This window comes from Homo sapiens, chromosome 9, assembly GCF_000001405.40.
Source record: "Homo sapiens chromosome 9, GRCh38.p14 Primary Assembly".
Taxonomy (NCBI): Eukaryota; Metazoa; Chordata; class Mammalia; order Primates; family Hominidae; genus Homo; species Homo sapiens.
Window position 1 is genome coordinate 110099384 of NC_000009.12, and position 22862 is coordinate 110122245.

General features: G+C 42.9%; 1 protein-coding gene across 15 annotated transcripts in view, besides 1 other annotated feature; it reads left to right on the forward strand.

The window, feature by feature from the left end:
- PALM2AKAP2 (PALM2 and AKAP2 fusion) overlaps positions 1-22862 on the forward strand; it is a 531726-nt gene that overhangs the window by 458597 nt on the left and 50267 nt on the right. The gene's annotated exons all lie outside the window — the stretch shown is intronic.
- Positions 6633-7240: an enhancer, noted in NCBI's record as "NANOG-H3K27ac hESC enhancer chr9:112868296-112868903 (GRCh37/hg19 assembly coordinates)". NCBI's record gives its function as "activates a minimal SCP1, AML or CMV promoter by ChIP-STARR-seq in naive H9 embryonic stem cells {active_cell/tissue: H9 hESC(naive)}" and the evidence as "EXISTENCE:reporter gene assay evidence [ECO:0000049][PMID:30033119]".

Here is a 22862-nt window from a genome sequence, read left to right on the forward strand (position 1 = left end):
TGAACCAGTGAAATTGCTATCAGGAAAAAATGACTCAAGTTTCCAGGCAGCTATGAATGAGGTGTTTTTCTGGGCGGTCTGAGCAACTATCTTTTGGAAGGATACATAAGAAGGTACAAGCTGCCAGCCCATCCATTTCCCTAAGATGAACTTGAAGCACGTTTTCTTTCAGCAGCCCAGACAGCACAGGCTTTTCCTAGCAGATGGGTGGCATTACCTCACTGACATTTAATGAATAGGTTGCCCCCAGGGGGTGGAATTGTAGCAAAGTCTATTATGAAATCTCATTTGCTTTGCATGAATCAGTTTAGGAGTCCCGAGAAAACAAAATTTGAAAAATGAAAAGTGGCCACATAGCTTGCCCTGTAACTGCTTGGACATGGCAGGTAATAATCATAGTCAGTTTGCGCTTTTATGATGGAGAGGGCTTTCAATTGATTTGTATTTCTTGTGAGTAGGAACAAAGCCAGTTGTAAGTACCTTTTAGCTTTGTTCCCTCCTTTCTCATTTTCTAGGACTGTAGCATCTGGGGCATATAATTGAGCTCTGAGAGCCGAGAGCTGGAGGGGGAGGGGGTGGTCAGAGGAAAATTATTCAATTCACACATATAACATGCATATATATATGTGTGTGTGTGTCTTAAACATATATGCATATGTATGTGTGTCTATATATATATATATATATATATATATATAGAAACATAAATATTTTATCAAGTTGAGAATGGGAGAATAGATTTCTTTCAGCAAACAACCTCAAGCCTATTATACATCTGATTTATGAAGGGTAAGAAATTCAACCTTAACCCAAGCAAAGGTTTAAAAAGGCAGCATGGGTATTATTGGGCTTAGGAAAAGGTGAAGGCTGCCTTGCTGCCGTCCTGGAAGATTGAGACAGTGGTAACAACACGTGCAGCAACCCCCTGCACTTCTAGAAGGAAGCTGATATCTGTCTACATGTTTCAGCGTTTGTCTCTGAACCTAGTCTTTTCTTGGTCACATAGGGGAAGCAACAGAGGTGGCTTATCATAGCAATGCAAAAGCCTTTAATGAAAAATGGGCTCAGGTTTTGGTTCCTATAAGATGGTGATTCCCTTCCCCCACAAAGGCCTTTGTGTACATGGGGTGAGGTAGGGGTCTGAGAAAGGCCACTGGAAATGGAAGGCTTAACGGCCAGTCCTCTGCTATGTCCCAGATGGAAAGCTCCTTGTATCTAAGAAAGGCAGGAAACCATGTCACCTGGCTTCTGATATGTAACAACCCCAAATTATTCTCCGACCCCTTGAAGGCCAGCTGGGCTCTTTTGCATCAGGGGGATTGTGTTTAGAATTTGTGTCAACTGTCTTTGTAGAGATCCTTCTGGATAACTACTACAATTCCTGGGATATTCTTACAGTGGGCACATGACAAAGACATGTGACATTGGCCCAAACCCCCCTCAACTTGGAAAAGGGGTGGATTCCCCCAGCTGACTTGAAGATTCTGGTCTGTGGATTCAGCAAGAGTCTGAGGCCTCTGCTGAGTGAGCCAAGGGTGGCTTCCGGGGAGGTGAGTGCCTGGAGGAGAATGTTCCCAGAGCCAAGATGGGATGCCTCCTGGTATCAAAGTGATGTTCAGATTTTTTCTGGAAATCTAGAATAGGATAAATGTGAATAGAGATTAGAGTGAACATCTTCTAGGATTTGAAGCCCTTGAGAGCTTCTAGGATTTGAAGCTCTTGGTCTTGAGACCAAGCCTCTGCAATGCATCTGGGGTCCGTTGCACAAGTGTGTGTCTTTTTACCAGGTCTTATCCCCGCTTCAGCCTTTTCTCTCCTGTTAGGGATCAAAACTTGCCAAAACAGAAATTTTAAAAAGACACGCAGGATGTGGGGCTGCTCCTGGGAGGTTTGCTGTGTGTGTTTGGGGTCCTGCACCCTCCACTCCACTCCTGAGTGTCCAAGGGTGGATGTCCAGAAATTTAGCCACCTACTCCCATCAGTGTAGCCAGAACCTTTGCTGGGAGTTAATCTCTCTCCCTCATTACTTTCTGATCTGCTTGAAAGACAAATAGAGGTTAGGGAAATATATTAATATCAGTAAGTCTCCATGGATGGCCCAGGTCAAGGCAGACAAAGGTAGTCACACGCTTTCAGGGGCTGAAAGACAAGTAGAGGTTAGGGAAATGTATCAGCGCATCTCCATGGATAACCCAGGCCAAGGCAGACAAAGAAAGCCACGTGCTTTCAGGTGCAAACAGCGGCCGCCTTTTTTCACTGGACATCATTGGGCAGCTGTTGCTGTCATTTCCCACGGCCTCTCTGGAGGGGAAACACAGCTGGCTTCTGTGGGCCAGCCTGAAACCATCTGCAGCTGCTTGCATGCTTTCAAATGTAAGTAAGGGAATTTCAGCTGAGGTTAATCTGGGAAATCCTCTGTATGAAACATTTTCCTTTTCACTGTTCCCTTTCCTTTTGGATATAACATATGACCCACTTACGAGGCAGCCTGTTGGATCACTGGTCCCCAAGGAGCTGTGGATGTCTTCCCAGATTACTCCTGCCACCACCAATGCGTCTACCACCATGAGAGCTGCTGCTGATGGGCACTGCACTGTGCATGTTGCATATGTGATCTCATTTAGCACTGTGACACTCCAAGGACCACACTCTTGTCTCATTTTCGGATAAGGAAGCTGAGGCTCCAAGAGGTCCAGCAGCTTGTCTTAACAGTGAACAGGTGCAAAACCAAGATTTGAAACCAGTTTTTGATCTTGGTTTGATCTTGATGCCACATCCCAGCCTCTTTCTACCTCTGTAGGACGGCTTTGTGTCTCCTCTGCATTTTCAGCCTCCATTGCTAATCTGACACCATCTAAAGCAGGAATATCCTTATTAATGGAATAGTGCTTAATGGGATTAGGCTTACTTCTGTATTCTAGACAATATTTACTGAGCTGTTAGATGTAATGTGTTCAGAAATAATACAGGGATTTATGAATATGTATTAAATATTAGAGTATAAACTTTATCAAGCAGAGAATATATTTGTCCTCCAGTGTTGTTGACCTTGTATGTTTTTTGTTTGTGTTACCTCCAGAGCTGGATTTTGAAAGATTAAGCCAAGAAAAAAAGATGAGACATTCAAAAGTAAATAAATTAGTTTAGGCCTGGCTTTTCTGGGGCCATGGAGTTGTTATCCCAAAGTCCTTGCTTGGACCTCTCCTCCTCTCCACTCCTCCCCTCCCCTCCCCTCCCCATTGGGCACTGCCAGGGCCCAGTACAAGTGAAACAGATGCTCAACTCCTAGACTTGTGGAGGCTTAGGTAGACCAGCAAGTCACTATTAGGACAGAAAAACAAGACCACGTCATTCCCCAGCCCAATCCCTTATGCTTTCTTTCAATGACACTTAAAATTTAAGACCCAAACCTACATGATCTGGCCCCATCTGCCTTTTCAGACTCTTCTTCCTCCTCGAGCCCCTTACCCCATCCTAGCCACCGAAGCCAGTGATGCCACATCCCAGCCTCTTTCTGCCTCTGCAGGACAGTTTTGTGTGTGCTCTGCATTTTCAGCTTCAATTGCTAATTGTCCTCTCTTGTCCTCACTTCTTTCACTCCCATCTCAGGGTTTCTGCATGCTGGTTCTCCTGCCTGGAACAGCCTTCTACCCACCCTTTGTGACTTAGTTCACTTCCCAGATTTCAGAGGGCAGCTCAGCTTTCCCTTCCTCATGGAAACCTCCCCTGACCTCCCTGAGTAGCCCAAACTCTCCTATTGTAGGCACTCTCAGAGCGCTTCTCATAGATGCAATTTTACGTTTGTTCGTAATTCTGTTTTGTTTTTTCACAACAATAAATTTTGAGAGGGCAGCTCTATGCCTAGTCTCCACCCTGTGTCCCCGATGCCCAGCACAGTGCCTGAAGCACAGTAGGTATTCAGTTGCCTTGGTGAATGAATGAATAAAGCCAAGCCAAGCACAGTACTCAGATCTCAAGCTCATAGTCACTGCATAGCTTGTGCTAACCTTGCAGCAAGTGAGACACTAAGCAAGTGAACAGCTTACATTTCTTAGTGGTGGTGTTAAATTTACAAGGAGAGCATGTCACCTCTCACTTCAAGTTTCCACACTTTTAGGCCATTCTTAGTGTTAATAGCCTGTGGAGGACTCTTTGAGGAGAGAAGAGGGGAATTCCAAAGATTCAGCTTGATAAATCCTTCATCTTTGACCTCATGTGTATTCTACTTAGGAATTAAAACGTAGAGTATGGCTGCTGCTACAAATCTTCTTTGCAGTTTTTCCTCTGGCTGATTTTTCTACTTTACCTGGAATTTTTATCCTGAATTTTTGTCCTTTTTTGAATCCATGTGGCACACATACATTGCCCTACCAGGTTTATTTGTGTTTGAGATTTGAGATGCTATCTGAGGCCAAGACCTCCAGAATTAGATGGGCCTTTGTTCCCAGAGCCTCTTTGAACAGAGAGAAATTCTTTGCTATGTTGGCAAAAGATCCTTCATATCTATCTGTCTTTCTTTCTTGTTCAGACTTCTCTTTTGGCCACGTGAACGTGGATCCACCTGCCCCGTCTTCTGGCCTATGCTGTGATCCCTGGAACATTTCAGGTTTGAGTGTCAGCCACATCTTCTTTAGGACCAGTCAAGGGTTTGCCTCCAGGAACAGTGGAATCTATTGAGTGCCCCCCAGGGAGTTCCCCATATGCTGGTTTGTTTGTCACTTGGCCACACAGTTCTACTTTTTCCTCTTTGTCTGCAACTGAACAGCCTAGGAAACTTACAAGATTTCTGCTTTTTTTTGGGGGGGCGGGGGGGTAAGGTATCGTATTTTGAGTTCAATCTGGTCGCAAACTGGATTCTGTCCAGATTTTTGTTGGGATTTCAGATGTTTAGCCCCAAACAAATTGAAAGTTAAATTGAAACTGGTCCAGATGAGGTCATGCTTAAGATTTCTCCCACAGCACAAATCGTACCTTACTGGAAGCTACTGTAAGGGCAGTTCTTGAATCTCTGCATTCCCAATACATACTCATGGTAAAAACAGTTAACAGTTAATTCGCTTGTGTTCCAGTGACTTGAAAAATAAGCATTAGCACCCTGGAGACCTCGTCTTATCAAGTTCTGAAGGATGGTTTTTATAGCTAGTATAAACCCTTAGTTTATCAGCTTCACTGGCCTAGAAACCCCTCAGACCTGAATATTTGGGATCAGCAGAATGGGCCAAGCTTAGGAATTCCAAGAAGGCAGACTCAAGATAGAGGGCTGCCAAAGCTCACAGATGTGGAATGAAACCAGTTTCAAAACCTGATTCTTCGCTCAGTTGGAATGTGTTTTAAAACCTGGACTCACTTGAGATGTTTGCACCTGGTAAGAATGTTTCAAACCTTGAATTCTACTTTGTGTAATTATCTGTGAAACGTAATGATGATAGCTCCAAGCTATCTCATAAAGCTGCTGAAGTCTTCAAAGCATTCATTCTATCTTCCTGGAGTTACAGAAACACAAAATGGTAACAGGTGTGTCATATGCATCCAGAGACTACCTCGAACTTTTCTCTCTAGAACTCAAGCTCCAGACTTGAGATATTAGTTAATAGATTGATAAATTGACTCAGGTTAAGTGGTATTATTTCTTAGATTATATAGTGTCATCCTACAGAGTAACCCCATTTTACAGGAGAAACAAAGTTGGCCAGAGGACGAGGCTAGAACCCCTTTCTAGACTGTTAATTCAGGCAGAGCTCTGTATATGTTTTAATGGTTAGTTTTCTAAAGAGTTTTACCTAGAGGCCAAATAAATCAGAAGCTCAAACGCATATGTTCTCTGTCTTCTTTTTAGACTGGCTTGCAAGAAAGCCCTTGGGTTACTTTTTGCCAGAAAAGAGCATGCAGAGTGAACTTGTGACATAATACATTCCTTGAAGCTCCCACGTTATAGTTTCCTGGTAACATAGAGTTGTTTATATTATTGCTACTTAAAACTTGGTTGCTTTGTAGATCCTACTTGGGAATTGAATTAACTTCAGTGAACTTGATAGAAGCTGCATCTTTCTGTAAAGTTTTGGGCAGGTTTTGTCACTGACATTAGGTGGTGATGATTTTAAAGGACTCCCATTACTTATCCAACATGTGCACGCATACTGTATATATGTCATTAGAAATAATTAGGAGTTAATTTTCAATAAGGTCCATTTGGTGGCTACAAATTAATCCATTTAAAACCCCTGATATTTGACCCTATTAATTATATCCTGCTGTTCATTGGTGCTTAACCCACAGAGCTAATGAGATGCCTAAGTACCACTATTTTTCATTGCTCTTTACTGTAGGGAAGTAGGTCTCTCTTTTTCTTTTTAATGTGAGTGGACATAAAATTTATCAGCAGGCATATCCACAGAAAACTGACTTTATTACAAGTATCCTTTTAGACTTGCAAGCTCCCTCAGCTAGTTAATTTTGCGTTTAAGTCTATGTGATTTTCATTCTAATGTCTTTTGGAATTAAATGTAATGTTGTAAGAAAAGAAGCGTCTGACCAATAAAGCAAGGCAGTCTAGGCTGTTTTATATATATATACGCACTTTATCCTGTCTAATGTAGTGCTCCTATTTTCTTTTTCATATTCTTTCTGTTAGAGCCAAATTCACTACTCTGACTTTGCATAATATAAATACAGATATCCTTACTCATTAAGAGGCTGTGTTGTTTTAGAAATTAGTAAGTGGCTACATCTGCATAATTTTGCATTGGTAAGAGTTGGCTTCTTTAGCGAACATGATTTTGTATTTTTGGAGAGGAAAACCTTGGGCCCATCAGGTTAGCCTTTTCTGAGATGGAGACTCAAGTGGGACCACCCAGGATGGTCACAGCTTCAACTCCCACACAATGAGAACTTGTGACTATAGCCTGGGAGAGCTGACTATGCAGGAGACAAGAAATCAGAGAGTTGGGTCCAGAGGTAGCTGGCAGAAAGAAGATTCTATTAATATTTTAACCTCAGAAGAGCAGCGTCTAAATATGTGAAATGAGTGCTGGCCTAGAGGGGAAGGGCCATACTCTTAACCACCTCAAGCTGGTCTTATCATTGTTGCTGGGGGGGATGTGTAAGGCTACAACCTTCCCTTTTAGGTAGAGGGAAGAGAGGACTCCCTTGTGGGTGTGCACAAAGGAGTATGATGAGAAGAGGGTGGTGATGGGTGCTTAGCTTGATGCTTACATTGTCCCAGTGCAGCTCCATGATTGCAGGTACCTTGAGAGGACCCATGTGCAGTAAGGTGGGAGGTTAGGAAAAGCAGAGAATGCCAGCCAGCCATGAGTGGATTTGAGAGGTCTGAAGGACAAAGGCAATGTTGCTTTGTATGGGTGCACAAGGGGATATGTGCATTTAAATCCGTCAACAGTCCAGAAATTGGATTGCCATTTCAGTTCCCAAACAAATGGCTTGTTTATTAAACTAAAAGCCCCTATCTCCATTAGGAAATATTCAATTCCAGCAATTAGCCCCAGGGTGAAAGAGGTCTCCCTCTCTCCAGTCTGTTTTTGCTCTGTTCCCAAACAATGCTTTGATGTGCAAGGCACTCCTAATGGAAGATAAGTCATCAATTAGCCCGATGGAAGGTTAAGCTGAAAACAGACTTTTCAGGGAAGGGATTATCACTGAGCTGTTAATCACTGATTGACATTATCTATTGGGGATATATTCTTATGGGAGACTTACTCTCCACCCAGGCAGAAGGTAACAAAGATGCAAAAATATTCTAGTTGTTTGGTTTTTTTAAAAAATGAGTTTTAGTGTCCTATAGCACCATAGAATAACTGTAGTTAACAATAATATACAGTTTCAAATAGCTGGAAGATGGGCACTGAATGTTCCCCACACAAAGAAATGGCAAATGTTCAAGATGATGAATATGTTAATTGCCCTGATCTGATCAGTATGCATTGTATGTACGGAAACATCACTATGTACCCCATAAATATGTACAAGTAATATATAATAAGTAAATTTTAGAAATAAGAGAAAAGAAAAAATGTGAGTTTAGAAATAGGATCTTAGATCAATTGAGTCGGGGTGGAGATGATAATAGTTTTCTTTCTAAACAAGTATCTTTTACTTTCTTTAAGAATTGTTGGTCATAATATGATTACATTGCTAATTTATGAAATAAAAAGTAAGGAGAACCTCTAATTTTTTTTTAGAGTGGGGAGACAGTGTCTCACTCTGTTGCCCAGGCAGGAGTGCAGTTGTGCCATCTCAGCTCACTGCAACTTCCTCCTCCCGGGTTCAAGCGATTCTCCTGCCTCAGCCTCCCGAGTAGCTGGGACTGCAGGTGTCTGCCACCATGCCCAGCTAATTTTTGTATTTTTAGTAGAGACGAGGTTTCACCATGTTAGCCAGGCTGGTCTTGAACTCCTGGCCTCAGGCAATCTGCTTGCCTCGGCCTCCCAAAGTGCTAAGGATTACAAGCATGAGCCACCATGCCCTACCAGAACCTCTATTTTTATAAGAGTAAGTTGATATGAACAATATTGTGAATGTAAGCACAGTGCACATGAGGCAAATTTGTAATTCTGTGCTTGAGTTTTACAAGTGAAATAAGTTTATTTTTTAAACTCCAAGTAGTGGCAGATGAGTGTTAATTTACCTACAACTTTTCAGGAAAATATCAATTGCATACATTAAGCTATTTTGCTGTTATTTTTTTTTTTTGCTTTGTGCCTTTTGTTTTTCTTTTTTTCTTTTTTTTTTTTTTGAGATGGAGTTTTGCTCTTGTCTCCCAGGCTGGAGTGCAATGGCGCAATCTTGGCTCACTGCAACCTCTGCCTCCCGGGTTCAAGTGATTCTGTCTCATCCTCCTGAGTAGCTGGGATTAAGGTGCCTGCCACCACGCCCAGCTAATTTTTGTATTTTTTAGTAGAGACAGGTTTTCACCATGTTGGCCAGGCTGGTCCTGAACTCCTGACCTCAGGTGATCCACCTGCCTCGGTCTCCCAAAGTGCTGGGATTACAGGCGTGAGCCACCCCGCCTGGCTGCCTTTTGTTTTTCTAGTACGCTGATGAGACCAAAAAGAAGATATAATAAAATTAATTGCCAAAAATTTAGAAAATGGAATAGGGTAGTTATTCTACTACCCTAATATAATCAATAACTATTGTACTGCCTACCACTCTTTTTTCTCCTGTTTGCTACAGGGGTGCAATCCATTTACCTAGATTCTGTTTCCTAATTAGCCTCATAGAATGTTTCAAAAATCGTGACCCATATAGCTTAATGAGTACAGAGTTTCTGTCTAAGGGGTGATGAAAAAATCTTCAAAATAGTGGTAATGGTTACACAACATTGTGAATATAATTAATGCCACTGCATTGTACACTTAAAATGGTTAAAATGGCAAAATTTAAGTTATATATTGCACGACAATAAAAGAAAGTGTATCAAAATTATGCCCCTGCATTTAAAAAAAAATTTTTTTTTGGTAGGGGGAAGTAAAGGATTGACAGATTTCAGAGTCTGTGGTGCTAGGAGAAAATTTTAGGGTGGAGTTATTCTCCATGGGGCTCAAAACCCAAAACTTTTCAATACTATTGAATATTAGCAATAATAAGCTTGTAATTCAAAGCAGCAGGGTGGTACGTTGTTAAAACTTCAGAAACCGGTCCGGCGCGGTGGCTCATGCCTGTAATCCCAGCACTTTGGGAGGCCGAGGCAGGTGGATCACCTGAGGTCAGGAGTTCGAGACCAACCTTACCGACATGGAGAAACCCTGTCTCTACTGAAAATAGAAAATTAGCTGGGCATGGTGGCACATACCTGTAATCCCAGCTAGTCAGAAGGCTGAGGCAGGAGAATTGCTTGAACCCGGGAAGTGGAGGTTGCGGTGAGCCGAGATCTCGCCATTGTACTCCAGCCTGGGCAACAAGAGGGAATCTTTGTCTCCAAAAAAAAAAAAAAAAAACCAGAAAGAAAGAAACATTTAAAAAAAAAAAAAAGAAAAACTTCAGAAGCCTTCTGAGGTTCAGAGGTCATGTTTCGGAGGTCATGTTTCAGGGTGCGGTATTTGGAGCCCTCCCGGAAACACAAAAGCCTCCCTGGTGACATTCTTAGCCCCTAGGAAGGGCAGTAATGACAGCCCACAACTGACAAGTACTGATGAATAGTTCTTGAAGGCAAACCCTGCCCTCAGGGAGCTCTGCCATAGCTTGACATGTCTTCTAGAACTACGTGCAAGGGGTCGCAGAGCAGCTAATTCTGCCGCGGTATGGGCAGTCACCAGGAAACTTCAAGGGGGAGCAGGTTTAACCTGAATCCTTGCTGAAAATAGATGAATTTGCCTGGGAGTGAGAGAGGAAAGGGCATGCCTATGTGGAGGTACCAGCAAGGGGACAGATACAGGAAAAGGGTGCCAGGCCCCTTAATTCCAGGTTTAGGAGTTTCTTTTAAAAAAAAAGTTCAGTCTCAAAAAACTAAAAATAGAAGTACCATATGACCTAGCAATCCCACTTCTGGGTATAGATCCAAAGGAAATGAGATCAGTATGTTGGAGAGAGGGACTGGCTGGAGGGGAGGGGGATTGGGGAGATATTGGTCAATGGATATAAAATTTCAATTATGCAGCAGGACTAAATTCAAGAGCTCTATTGTACAACATGGTGACTATAGTTAATAATGATGTATTATATATTGTACTTGAAAGTTGCTAAGAGGGTAGATTTTAAGTGTTCTCCTCACACATATGTGAGGTAACATATAGTAATTAGCTTGATTTAGTCATTCCACAAAGCATATGTATTTCAAAATATCAAGTTGCATACCATAAATGTATACACTTCTTTTTTCTTAATCAGAATAAATAAATAGTCCGAGGGACATTTATTGAGGGCCTAGTTGTTGGGCAGCATCTTAGGCTTCTTTTGGTTTCTAAATGGTGCCCTAGTCAGGGCTTGGTGAGTTTCAGATCCCCAGAAAAAGTCTGTTCTTAGCTTTGATGGGGGAAGGAAGACCCAGAGCAAACCACAGTGGCACTGCTGATCTAGAGCACCCTTTAGGGTGGCTGGGGGTCAGATTACAGACTGGACCACACTCCTAACTTTCTTTACCCCTGAGACCTCTGGAGTCCTAGATGTGGACGTGGTGTTTATGGTGCATTCATGTTTCTGAACTCTTTTTTTTTTTTTTTTTTTTTTTTGAGATGGAGTCTCACTATCATCCAACCTGGAGTGCAGTGGTACGATCTTGGCTCACTGCAACCTCTGCCTCCCGGGTTCAAGCGATTCTCCTGCCTCAGCCTCCTGAGTAGCTGGGATTACAGGCACCTGCCACCATCCCTGGCTAATTTTTGTATTTTTAGTAGAGTCAGGGTTTCACAATGTTGGCAAGGCTAGTCTCAAACTCCCGCCCTCAAATGATCCACCTGCCCCAGCCTCCCAAAGTGCTGGGATTACAGGCGTGAGCCACCATGCCTGGCCTATGCTCCTGAATTCTTAAATACTCCAAATGATGCGATCCAGGCTTACAAGAGAGGAAGGAGAGTTAGATCTATGAATCTAATTAGGCTAAATGTTTTAAACAGCTCTTCTCTCAGGATATTGTTTTTGTTCATATCCCAATTCTGAAATTCATTAGCCTTATAGAAATTTATTAAGCCTGAATTACAGAGTGAAATCAAGAAGCATTTTTTTTTCCTTTTTTCTTTTCTTTCTTTCTTCTTTTTTTTTTTTTTTTTTTTTTTGAGACGGAGTCTTGCTCTGTCACCCAGGCTGGAGTACAGTGGCAAGATTACGGCTCACTGCAGTCTCAATGGCTCAGGCTCCAGTGATCCTCTGACCTCAGCCTCGTGAATAGCTGGGGTCACAGGCATGCACCACCAAACCCGGGTATTTCTTTTAATTATTTGTAGAGATGGGGTCTCATTACGTTGCCTAGGCTGGTCTTGAGCTCCTGGCCTCAAGTAATCCTCCTGCTTTGGCCTCCCAAAGTGCTGGAAATATAGGCATAAGCCACTACACCTGGCCTCAAGAAGTAATTTTTAAATAATATTTTTCATAAGAAGTTGAGCCATGTTACTGAAATGATGACATGCTGAATGGTGCATTGCAGCATTGCATAGTGAAATTGAGGGGACTTGACTAAGTTGGGAGCTGGCAAACCCCTTGCCACCACCACAGCCTTTGCAGATAAAGTCTTTGCCTTGCTTTCCCATCCCCTAACGGCAAAATGAATTGCTAAGATGAGAAAAAGGAATTTTGCACCATCTGCACCAATTCTGAGGTTTTGCAAGTGATCACCAATGTGGAGAGTATGGTTCAGGGCTACATGTTTATTTTTATTTTTATTTTTATTTTTATTTTGCATCCAGCGTGCTCAGAAAAACTAAAGGAAAAAAAATGGAAGGATGAACATTTTAAAATACAACAAAGCTGCATCATCCTCCAGTCAACGTTTTGGTTCCAGCTGCCTTCTAGCATTGCACAGCTTGAGATGTTTGTTGCTTGTGTTCCTGCAGCATTGAAGCCCCCACTCCCACACCCAGCCCCTGTCATTTCCTGTTTTCAGATCCCCACCTTCTGCCCTGCATGTTGGGGAGGGGTCCATGGCCAGAACGGAATGGCAGCTCTCTGCTATTGTAGGATCCCTGCTGTTGTGCTCGAACCTGTATATAAGACAAACAGTCATTCTTGGGAGTGGCCAGACATTATCTAGAGAATTCCAACCACTCAGCTGAAGAGAAAGTCACTCACCTGGAGTATTTAGAGAACTCCAGGCATCTTTAAGCAGGTACAGGTGGGAGACACAGCCCTTGAAGATTACCATCCGAGATACAGCTAAGAGCTCAAAGTGAATTCTTAGATTCAGTGAGCCATGACACATCATGTGTTTTGGAAGAGCAAAAAGGATGTCAAGATGTGCTTCTTTATAGTGGGCTTTGGAGAGCTGGACAGGCCAGGGCTTGGCTCTCAACTGTGCCCCTCCTTGTTTTGTGTCTTTGGGCAAATTACTTAAGCTCTGAGCTTCAATGTGTTCATCCACAAAATACGGATTAGCCCTATTTCACAGAGTTGCCATGAGGATTTATTGAGATAATGTATGTAAATGTCTACACATTGTAGGTATTCAATTAATAATTGTTACCATCATCATCCATATCATCTATATTTCCTGTCAAGGAAACTGGCATACCAGCTAAGCCAGCAAGCACATGCAAATAGTTCTAGGACCCATTTAGAGTATATGATAAAGTAGAAAAAGAATCTTGAAGCCGGTCTTCCTTGTTAAGTTTCTAGTCGAGATTGTCCCAGTTTCCACCTTTGTATCTACAAGAGGCAAGATAGTGGTTAAAGGCCCTGAGACAGATTTTCCTCCAGTTCAATCCCAGCTTTAGCACTTATGGCTGGAGCCCTTGGGCAAGTCACTTAAAACTCTCTGAACCTTGGTTTCCTGATATGTAAACTACAGCTATCAAGAGTACTGACCTCCTACGCTTGTTTTGAGGAATAAATGTAATTATGCATAAAAATCGCATGGTCTAATGCCCAGCATATCATAAATGCTCAACAAAGGTTATGAGCACCTCATCATCAACTAAAGTTGCTAATGCCTTTGAGGACTCTCGGGCTCTTTGTTCCTTCTCCAGTTTGACAGGGTACATTACCATTGCCAGCTCTGTGACAGGCTTTGTAACCTGGCTTCTGTGTACAACAGCATACATGTATGCTTCTGCTCCAGCTGGGCAGTCGATAAGCCTGCAGCCTTTGCTGGTTGATATGCCCTTATTCCACAGGTATTCTTTGCTGTTTCTGTTTTATCTACAGGTTTTTATTTTTGTTGTTGTTGTTTGTCTTTTTGTTTTTGTTTTTGTTTTTTTCTTTTTTTTTTTTTTGAGATGGAATCTCACTCTGTCACCAGGCTGGAGTGCAGTGGTGCGATCTCAGCTCACTGCAACCTCCACCTCCCAGGTTCAAGAGATTCTCCTGATTCAGCCTCCCGGGTAGCTGGAACTACAGGCGTGCACCACCATGCCCAGCTAATTTTTGTAATTTTAGTAGAGATGGGGTTTCACCATGTTGACCAGGATGGTCTCGATTTCTTGACCTTGTGGACCTTGTGATCTGCCCAACTTGGCCTCCCAAAGTGAGCCACTGCACCTGGACTTTTTTTTTTTTTAGACAGAGTTTTGCTCTTGTTGCCCAGGCTGGAGTGTAGTGGCACAATCTCGGCTCACTGCAACTTCTGCCTCCCGGATTCAAGCAATTCTCCTGCCTCAGCCTCCCAAGTAGCTGGGAGTATGGGATTACAGGCGCCTGCCACCACAACAGGCTAATTTTTTGTATTTTTAGTAGAGATGGGTTTTCATCATGTTGGCCAGGCTGGTCTCGAACTTCTGACCTCAGGTGATCCACCTGCCTCGGCCTCCCAAAGTGCTGGGATTACAGACGTGAGCCACCATACCCGGCCCTGTCTACAAGTTTTAAAAAGCATGAATATGTTGGGGCAACCCACCTCTGAGAAGGCTCGAAAAATGCTATAATTAGCCTGTGGCCAGAGTAGAGGGCAACAGTGAACTACCTGGCATTGAAGTCCTACCATGTTCCCATTGTGGGGCCAGCTGCCTTCACATTCTGTCCTCTTGGAAATCCTCATAACAGCCTCAGAAGGTAGGTGTATTGATTTCCTAGGGCAGCTATAACAAATTCTCACAAATTACGTGGTTGAAAACAATAGCAATTTGTTCTCTCACAGTTCAGGAGTCCTGAAGTCTGAAATTACAGATGGCAGGGTTGGTTCCTTCTGGAGGCTTTGAGGGAGAATCCGTTCCATGCCTTTCTCCTAGCTTCTCGTGGTTGCTAGCAATGTGTAACATTTCTTGACTTGTAAATGAATCATTCCAAATTCTGCCTCCAGATTCACATGGAGTTTCCTCTGTGTGTATATCTGCATGCCCTCTCTTTCCCTTATAAAGACACCAGTCACTGGATTTGGGGCCCACTCTCACCCAGTATGATCTCATCTTAACAAATTATATCCGCAAAGATCCTATTTCCAAGTGTTACATTCTGAGGTTCCGGGTGGACATGAATTTTGGGGCGGGGCACTATTTGACTCACTTCAGTACTTATTATACCCATTTAACAGATGATGACCCAGAGTCTCAGGGAGGAGAAAATCCCTTGCATAAGCATCACACAATCAGTTTATGATACCCAAGGATTCACAAACCCTGACCTGCTTTTCTCTAGATTTGTGTACTTCCCACCGTATCACTTTACCACATATAAACAAACGTAGAACAAAGAGTCTAAAACCTATGGCAGCAAAACGGTCAACAGCAGGCAGCCCTGGGATCAAAGAGGGTCTCTGGAGGGTAAACAGGATGAAGCAGAGGCTTTGCAAGCAAATGGCGATCCCTTCCTTGTTTCTGGTTCTCAGACTTCATCCTGTTTCCATAATCAGTATTACTTATTGGCTCTCAACCATCCGGCTGTGCTCCTGGGATTCCACAGTCGGGCAGAGAGATTCTTCATAAATGAGAGAAGGTAGTAGTCGGTTTCGTTTGCATTAAGAGAAGGAGCACATTTCTTTGCACAAAGTAAAATACCCTCCCACGACTCCCCACTGCTCCCCGTATCCCTGCTGGCTTATGCTTATCATGCATCCCAGTGGTGAATGGAGAAATTCCATGCTTTCCTTCTCCTGCAGAGGTTCCTTCCTGGCATTCAGAGCCGTAAAAGCAGTGGACGGAAACAGCTGACCAGCCCTCAGCTGCTCCCAGAGTCTGGCTGCCTAAACTTTTCCCAGAGGATGGTCCAGCAGTGCTGGTCCAGGGTGGGCTTGGGAGAGCAGAGCTATAGGCAAGAGAGGTGTGAATCCATGTGGTCCCCCTGGTTCTGGGTAAAGGCCAGGGCTGGGGCAGAATCACAGTCAGAACCAGGGTCAGGTCGTCAGTGTCAAGGGCAAATATCTTTTTCTTTAAACCACAAGTGCACCTCTGGTACCATGCTCAGAATCCCTTGTAGAGAGTGGCATCCGTTTGCTGCATGAGATGGGAGAAAAATTAGCGGCCCTGGCTCGAGTCTTCATTGCCCCTTGGCTGCCTGCCGTGTCCTATTTCTCATCAGGCCAGTGTCCCCAGTGCCTGTCCTGATCCAGAATTACCACTTAACCCTAGTGGAGCAGGACTCTCAGACTGACCATCTGGACTTTCCTCGAGTTCTCTTTTCCTGCCAGAGTGTGTCAGAGTGAATTGGATTAGAGTTCTGTTTGCTGCACAGCCTGGCTTCACATGAGGCTTTGTGCTTTTGAAGAAACTTGAGACAAGACTATTCATGAGTTCCCAGAGTGGGTGGCAATTCACAGTGATGCTGATATCCACGATCGTGGGGGTGGTTCTGTGCAGGGATCTCTAAACCTTTTAGAACCTTCCACCAGTTTCCCTGCAATCAATAGGTAGCTGATTCCATCAGATCAAACCATTTTCCTGTTGGAAAGTGGTAGGTCCTTTTGTTAAGTGTTCTTAGAACTCACCAATGATTTCATCGAAAAAGCATCTCTGATGGTTTTTCTTTCTCCTCTGGCATTGTGAACATTGTCTTGGAGAAGTGAAGGTTTGCCATGTAACACCTGCCTTTGAGCAGGGAAGAACATGGTGGGTAAATCTACGAGAGAGACCTGTTCTGTTCCCTGGACTCAGCTCCCATAGAGTCCACCACTGACCTTAGACCCTCAGGCTCCACCGGATGGATAGGAATTGAGTAACAGAAGGGTAGGAATCCCATACATAATCAGTATGGAATTTGGGATTGCCTAAGTGCAGAGTTACATTCTGTTCCAAGCCCCAGCATTCACTTTAAACATTAATAAGAGATATGGTGCTTTTTGCCTATGGAAGACTAGATTGAACAAACCCAAAATATTATTTTTAAAACTACTCAAAATTTTAAAATACTAAAAGAAAAAATGGGACTCAAATTTAATGAGCCCGTGTGTGCGTGTGTGTGTGCGTGTGTGTGTGTGCGCATGTGTGTGCGTGTGCGTGTGCGCGTGCACGCGCACCTTGTAGGTAGGTGAGGAGATTACTAGATTGACTCTCCTGTACATTTAAGTTAAATGGAACAAAAAAAAATGACTATTGCTTAGAATAATGGATAAGCCGGCCTCCTATTTTTTGTTCTCTACTTGACTGATCAGTCCTTGGGAAATTCTTCAATGGGATTTTCCTATGACATATTCTGTCTGTGACATAGTTCATGAAATTCTACGACATTTGATTCCCAAGGGGGAATCTGGTTACTCACAGCGTGTTTCACAACTTTTCTGGGAACAGGCAGCTCTTGGAAGGAAAATGTCTATGTATAGCAGTGAGCCAATAACTCATCTTCAGTGAAAACGGAAGGTGATATTGTCATACAGCTGTGTAGAGTGAGAGTACTCCTAAACAGATAATAAATTACAGCCAGAAAGCAAAACCTCCTCAAGAGATGGCCAAGTTTTGGTACACATTTGTTCACTGTGGCTCTATGAAAGACCTCACTTTTTAATATGTGGATGGAAAATGGAGATCAGAGGTGCTGTAAAACCTAACAAGTAGATGAGCCCTGGCCGTTTAAAAGTCTAAATGTATTTAAAGCTTGAATTTGTAACTTTTTAATTTATGTATGATACTCTCAATCCTTGCTTTTCCAATTACAATACTAATACATGCTCAGTCATATGCATCTTTGTTTGTTTTTGTTTTGTTTTTGTTTCTTGTTTGTTTGCCTTTTGAGACAGGGTCTCATTCTGTTGCCCAGACTGGAGTGCAGTGATGTGATCACAGCTCACTGCAGCCTCAACCTCCCAGGCTCATGTGTTCCTCCGGCCTCAGCCTCCCAAGTAGCTGGGACTATAGGTTCATGCCACCATGCCCGGTTCATTTTTTAAAATTATTTTTTGTAGAGATGGGGTCCCACTATGTTGCCCAGGCTGGTCTCGAACTCCTGGGCTCAAGTTATCTTCCCACCTCAGCCTCCCCAAGTGCTGGGATTACAGACACGAGCCACTGTACCCTGCCAATAATCCACATCTCTATGAAATAAAAACCATGGACTCCACTTCAGCTTTTCATCACCCCTTTAGCACTGAGTTTCCCCATTCCTATTCTCCAGGGTTAACCACTGTCTTTGTCTAATTTCTGCTGCTGAAAGAGTATACCTGAGTCTGAGTAATTTATAAAGAATAGAGATTTGGTTCTTACATTTCTGGAGGCTGTCTCATCCCATAGAAGAAGGTCAGAGGGCAAAAGAGCATACAGCCTGTGAGAGACAAGAGAGAGCCAGTCTTACTTTGATAATGAATCCATTCCTGGGTTGACCATTCGTGAGGTCAGAGCCCTCATGACCTTATCGCCTCTTCAAGGTCCCATCTCTCAACACTGTTGTATTTGGGATTAAGTTTCCAACACATGAATTTTTGGGAGACACATTGAAACCACAGCAGCCACAGATAAGCTATATATATATAGAGAGAGAGAGAGAGAGAACTATAGAGAGAGGGCAAACTATGTATATAGAATAAAGTGTATATATATAGTGTAAGATACATATATATATATATGTCGTTTTGTGTGTGTGTGTGTGTGTGTGTGTGTGTGTGTGTGTATGTAGTTCTACTTCCAAGAATTTCTACTACAGCCATGGAGGCACATGTAGAAAATGATCTATATTCAAGGATCTCCAATGCCACAATGTTTGCAACAATAAAAGACTAGAAATAACCTAAATTAATAGGGAACTGATCTTTTTATAAAATGGAATATATATTATATATATATATTCCATGTATATATACAGAAATATACACACACACACACAAATTATATCCTTATTTTATTATTTAATTTAATTTTGGTTTTTGAGATGGAGTCTTGCCTATCACCCAGGCTGGAGTGCAGTAGCACAATCTCGGCTCACTGCAACCTCTACCTCCCAGGTTCAAGTGATTCTCCTGCCTCTGCCTCCTAAGTAGCTGGGACTACAGGAGCCCACCACCACGCCCGGCTAATTTTTTGTATTTTTAGTAGAGACAGGATTTCGCAACGTTGGCCAGGCTGGTCTCAAGCTCCTGTCCTTAAGTGATCTGCTCGCCTCGGCCTCCCAAAGTGCTGGGATTACAGGTATCAGCCACTGCTCCCAGCCTTCTTGACTTGTAGAGAGTGAATTTATCTCCTCCAGGTGCCTAATCACCCATCAGGAGTGCCATATTTCCTTTTAGTGCTTTCCCACCTGTCTCTCTGTATTTTTTAAATGCTTACTTCCTTTTTTCAGAAGTTAATATATGCACATATTCTAACATTGGAAAGGTGTAGAAAAGAACACAGTGAATAGAAGCTTACCTACACCTGATGTCCAGTGACTCCCTTCCCCATTCCAGAGAAAATCTCTGTGATCGGTTTCTTATGTGTCCTTCCAGGGATAGCTTATGAATATGCAAATATAGATACACACATACCTACATATATACAAATAAAAATATGTACATATAAGATTATTCATATTCATGTTTGTTAACATCAAAGGTAACGTGCTCTTTATAAAATGTTCCATAGCATTTATTAGTAGATTTTGAAGATTGCTACATATAAATTATCATAGAGCTGGGAGTTCTTCTGTTCTTTTAAAGTTGTATGATATTCCATTTAATGAAAACATCAGGCCAGGCACAGTGGTTCACGCCTGTAATCCCAGCACTTTGGGAGGCCGAAGTGGGCAAATCATGAGGTCAAGAGATCGAGACCATCCTGGCCAACATGGTAAAAATCCGTCTCTACTAAAAATACAAAAATTAGCTGGGTGTGGTGGTGGGCGCCTGTAGGCCCAGCTGCTCGGGAGGCTGAAGCAGGAGATTTGCTTGAACCCGGGAGGCAGAGGTTGCAGTGAGTCAAGATCATGCCACTGCACTCCAGCCTGGTGACAGAGCGAGACTCCATCTCAAAAAAAAAAAAAAAAAAAGAAAAGAAAAAGAAGATAACAGTTCCCTATTAATTTAGGTTATTTCTAGTCTTTTATTATTGCAAAGATTGCGGCATTGGAGATCCTTGTGTATAGATCATTTTCTACGTGTGCTTCTATGGTTGTAGTATAAATTCTTGGAAGTATAACCACTGGGTCAAAAGCATTGTGTATTTTAAAGTGGGGTCCACGTTGCCAAATTGCCATCCAACTTTATGGAGTTGGATGAGGGTACCTCTCTCATTACATGCTGATAACTAATATATAGGTGGAAAACTTGTAGTTTTTGTGTTTCTTTTTTATAAATGGGATTGAGAGTCATTCTGTATGTCTAAGAATAGTTTATATTTCTTTTTGTGAACCGTCTATCCATATCTTTTGTCTAGTTTTATGTTTGGGTTGTTGACCTTTTTTATCGATTGCAAGGGTCCTTTATATTTTAACACCATCAAGCCATTATAATAACGTGAGTTGTGAATATTTTCCTAGTTTATTTCTATTTGAGCCACCATTGGTTGAATCATTTTACCGTATGGCAAGCCCTGTGGTGAGCATGTCATGTTTTACAACTGCTCCCTAAGTTAGCAGTGGTATTATGCCATTTTACAGAGAAGGGCCCCAGGTCTGTCGGATGCCAAAGTTGATTCTTAACTTGAACTCTACACCCCTTTTGCACATACCTATTTATATAGCATCATTTCAGGTTGTCATGCAATTATGATAAATATCCTTTTCACAGGTTGCATAGCATTCTATTAGTTATACAAATCAAAATTTTCAGATGCTGATACTTAGACTACACATTTTCATCACCTATAGGTTTTCACTGTTATAAATAAGATTGTGATACATTTCTTCTAAAACTCTGTCCTCCCCAATGCAACAAGATGGTGCCATTGCTCCTGCAGGAGATGAGATACCATGCCTGAGGCAGACAGCAGAGTCATCTTTTGAGTCTAAGATCCTTGACAAGGGAACTCAACAGATTCGGGGTAGAAATGGGGTGCATGTCAGGGGATGGGGACATTTTATTGGCCTGCTAGACTTCTCAGTGCCTTTCCCTTAAATGTCACCAGTAGCTTCACCTGGTTCTGGAATGAAATACAACACACATTAGGGCTTCAGACCCTCTTCTCTCTGAAAGCCTGCCCTTTGTTTTTGAGACAGAGTCTTGCTCTGTTGCCCAGGCTGGAGTGCAGTGGTGCGATCTCGGCTCACTGCAACCTCTGCCTCCTGGATTCAAGTGATTCTCCTGCCCTCAGCCTCCCGAGTAGCTGGGATTACAGGCATGTGCCACTACACCCGGCTAATTTTTGTATTTTTGAGTAGAGACAAGGTTTCACCATGTTGGCCAGGCTGGTCTTGAACTCCTGACCTCAGGTGATTTGCCTGGCTTGGCCTCCCAAAGTGCCGGGATTACAGGCATAAGCCACTGCGCCCGGGCCAAAAGCCTGCTTTTTGATCAGCAATATTGGAGACAGTTGTAGGAAACACTGAAAGACTGCAGGATGCAGTGGGGAGGGCGAAGGCCGGGAGTTGACAACTATTTTTTTTTTTATAAAATAGTATTTCAAATAATATTTCTAACAGGAATAAATGAGATCATAGTGCATGACATAGCTGAGGGGTCCATATGTTTGTATGTTCTTGTGGATTCTTCTCAACCCTCTGCTCTGTAGCTTTCTATGCCCTGAGCACCAGAGAAGCATTACCAGGTCTGGGTGTTCTTTAAGCCTTTCTAAAGAGAGTTGCTGTTTCTGTTTGCCTTTTCTCATCATTTTCCCCTTAATAAATTAAGGGCTAAGTGTGTCTTAGTTTCCCACACTTTACTCCAATCAGGGATTCCTTTGGGTAAACAAACTCCTGTCTTAAATTGTAAGTATTCCCATCTGATTCACATGTAAGGGCAAATTGTTTTAAAGACCTGGCTCCATGCTGAGATGTAGGGTCTTTTGGTGACGGGGCTTGGAGGAGGAACCTACCTGAAAGGTAAGGAGGGAGAGGACAAGACTGGGCATGTGAGGAGGAAGGGCGGTTGTGAGGCCCAGGCTTCCTTCTCTGTGTGCCTTGAATTGGGCCTTGGAGCAGCTTGAAAAGCTGCCCCAGCTTCGCTAAGCACCAGGAAGCAGGGAGGGGAACCTTCCTAGTGCCACCCTTTCCCCTGCACCTGCTACTTTGCAATTCCAGGCAATGGGCTGGCTCTTAACTGTGTTTGAAGCCAGCCTCTCTACCCTGAGGACCTCATTCCTTCCTGACCCCTTCAAACCTGTTTTTGGAACTTTCTGTCACACTAAGGTGACTGGTGACTGTCACAAATGGGAAAGTTACATTTAGCAGAATAAAATCCTTCCGTTAAAGAGATAAAGTTCTGACAAGGGGATTGTCTACAAGCTGCGCCTCCTTCTAGGAACTCTTAAAATCCCTCTCAGCAAAAGTATCACCTGGTTTCCAAGGCAGCTGCTGCTCCTATCCTCTCACAGGCTTTCTTGAGACTCTGCCCACTCAAAATGAGTTCACCTTTGCCCAAAGTTCATGCTAAAAGCACAGAACTTACAGAGATTAGGAGAAGTGAATTGTGAGGGTTTATGTACCTGGGATCTCATTTTACCGACCAGAAAACTAAGACCTAGAAGAGAAATGAGGCCTTCCCAAAGCTCCTAGCAGCTGGCCTACGCTTTCAAAGTCGTCTCTTGCTGCCTTACATTACAGACACTTCTTAAGGTTTTTTCTTTTTTGATCATGGCTCACTGTAGCCTTGACCTCCCAGGCTCAAGTTCCTCCTGCCTCAGCCTCCCAAGTAGCTGTACTATAGGTGCATGCCACCGAACCTGGCTACTTTTCAAATTTTGTAGAGACAAGGTCTCACTACGTTGCCCAGGCTGGTC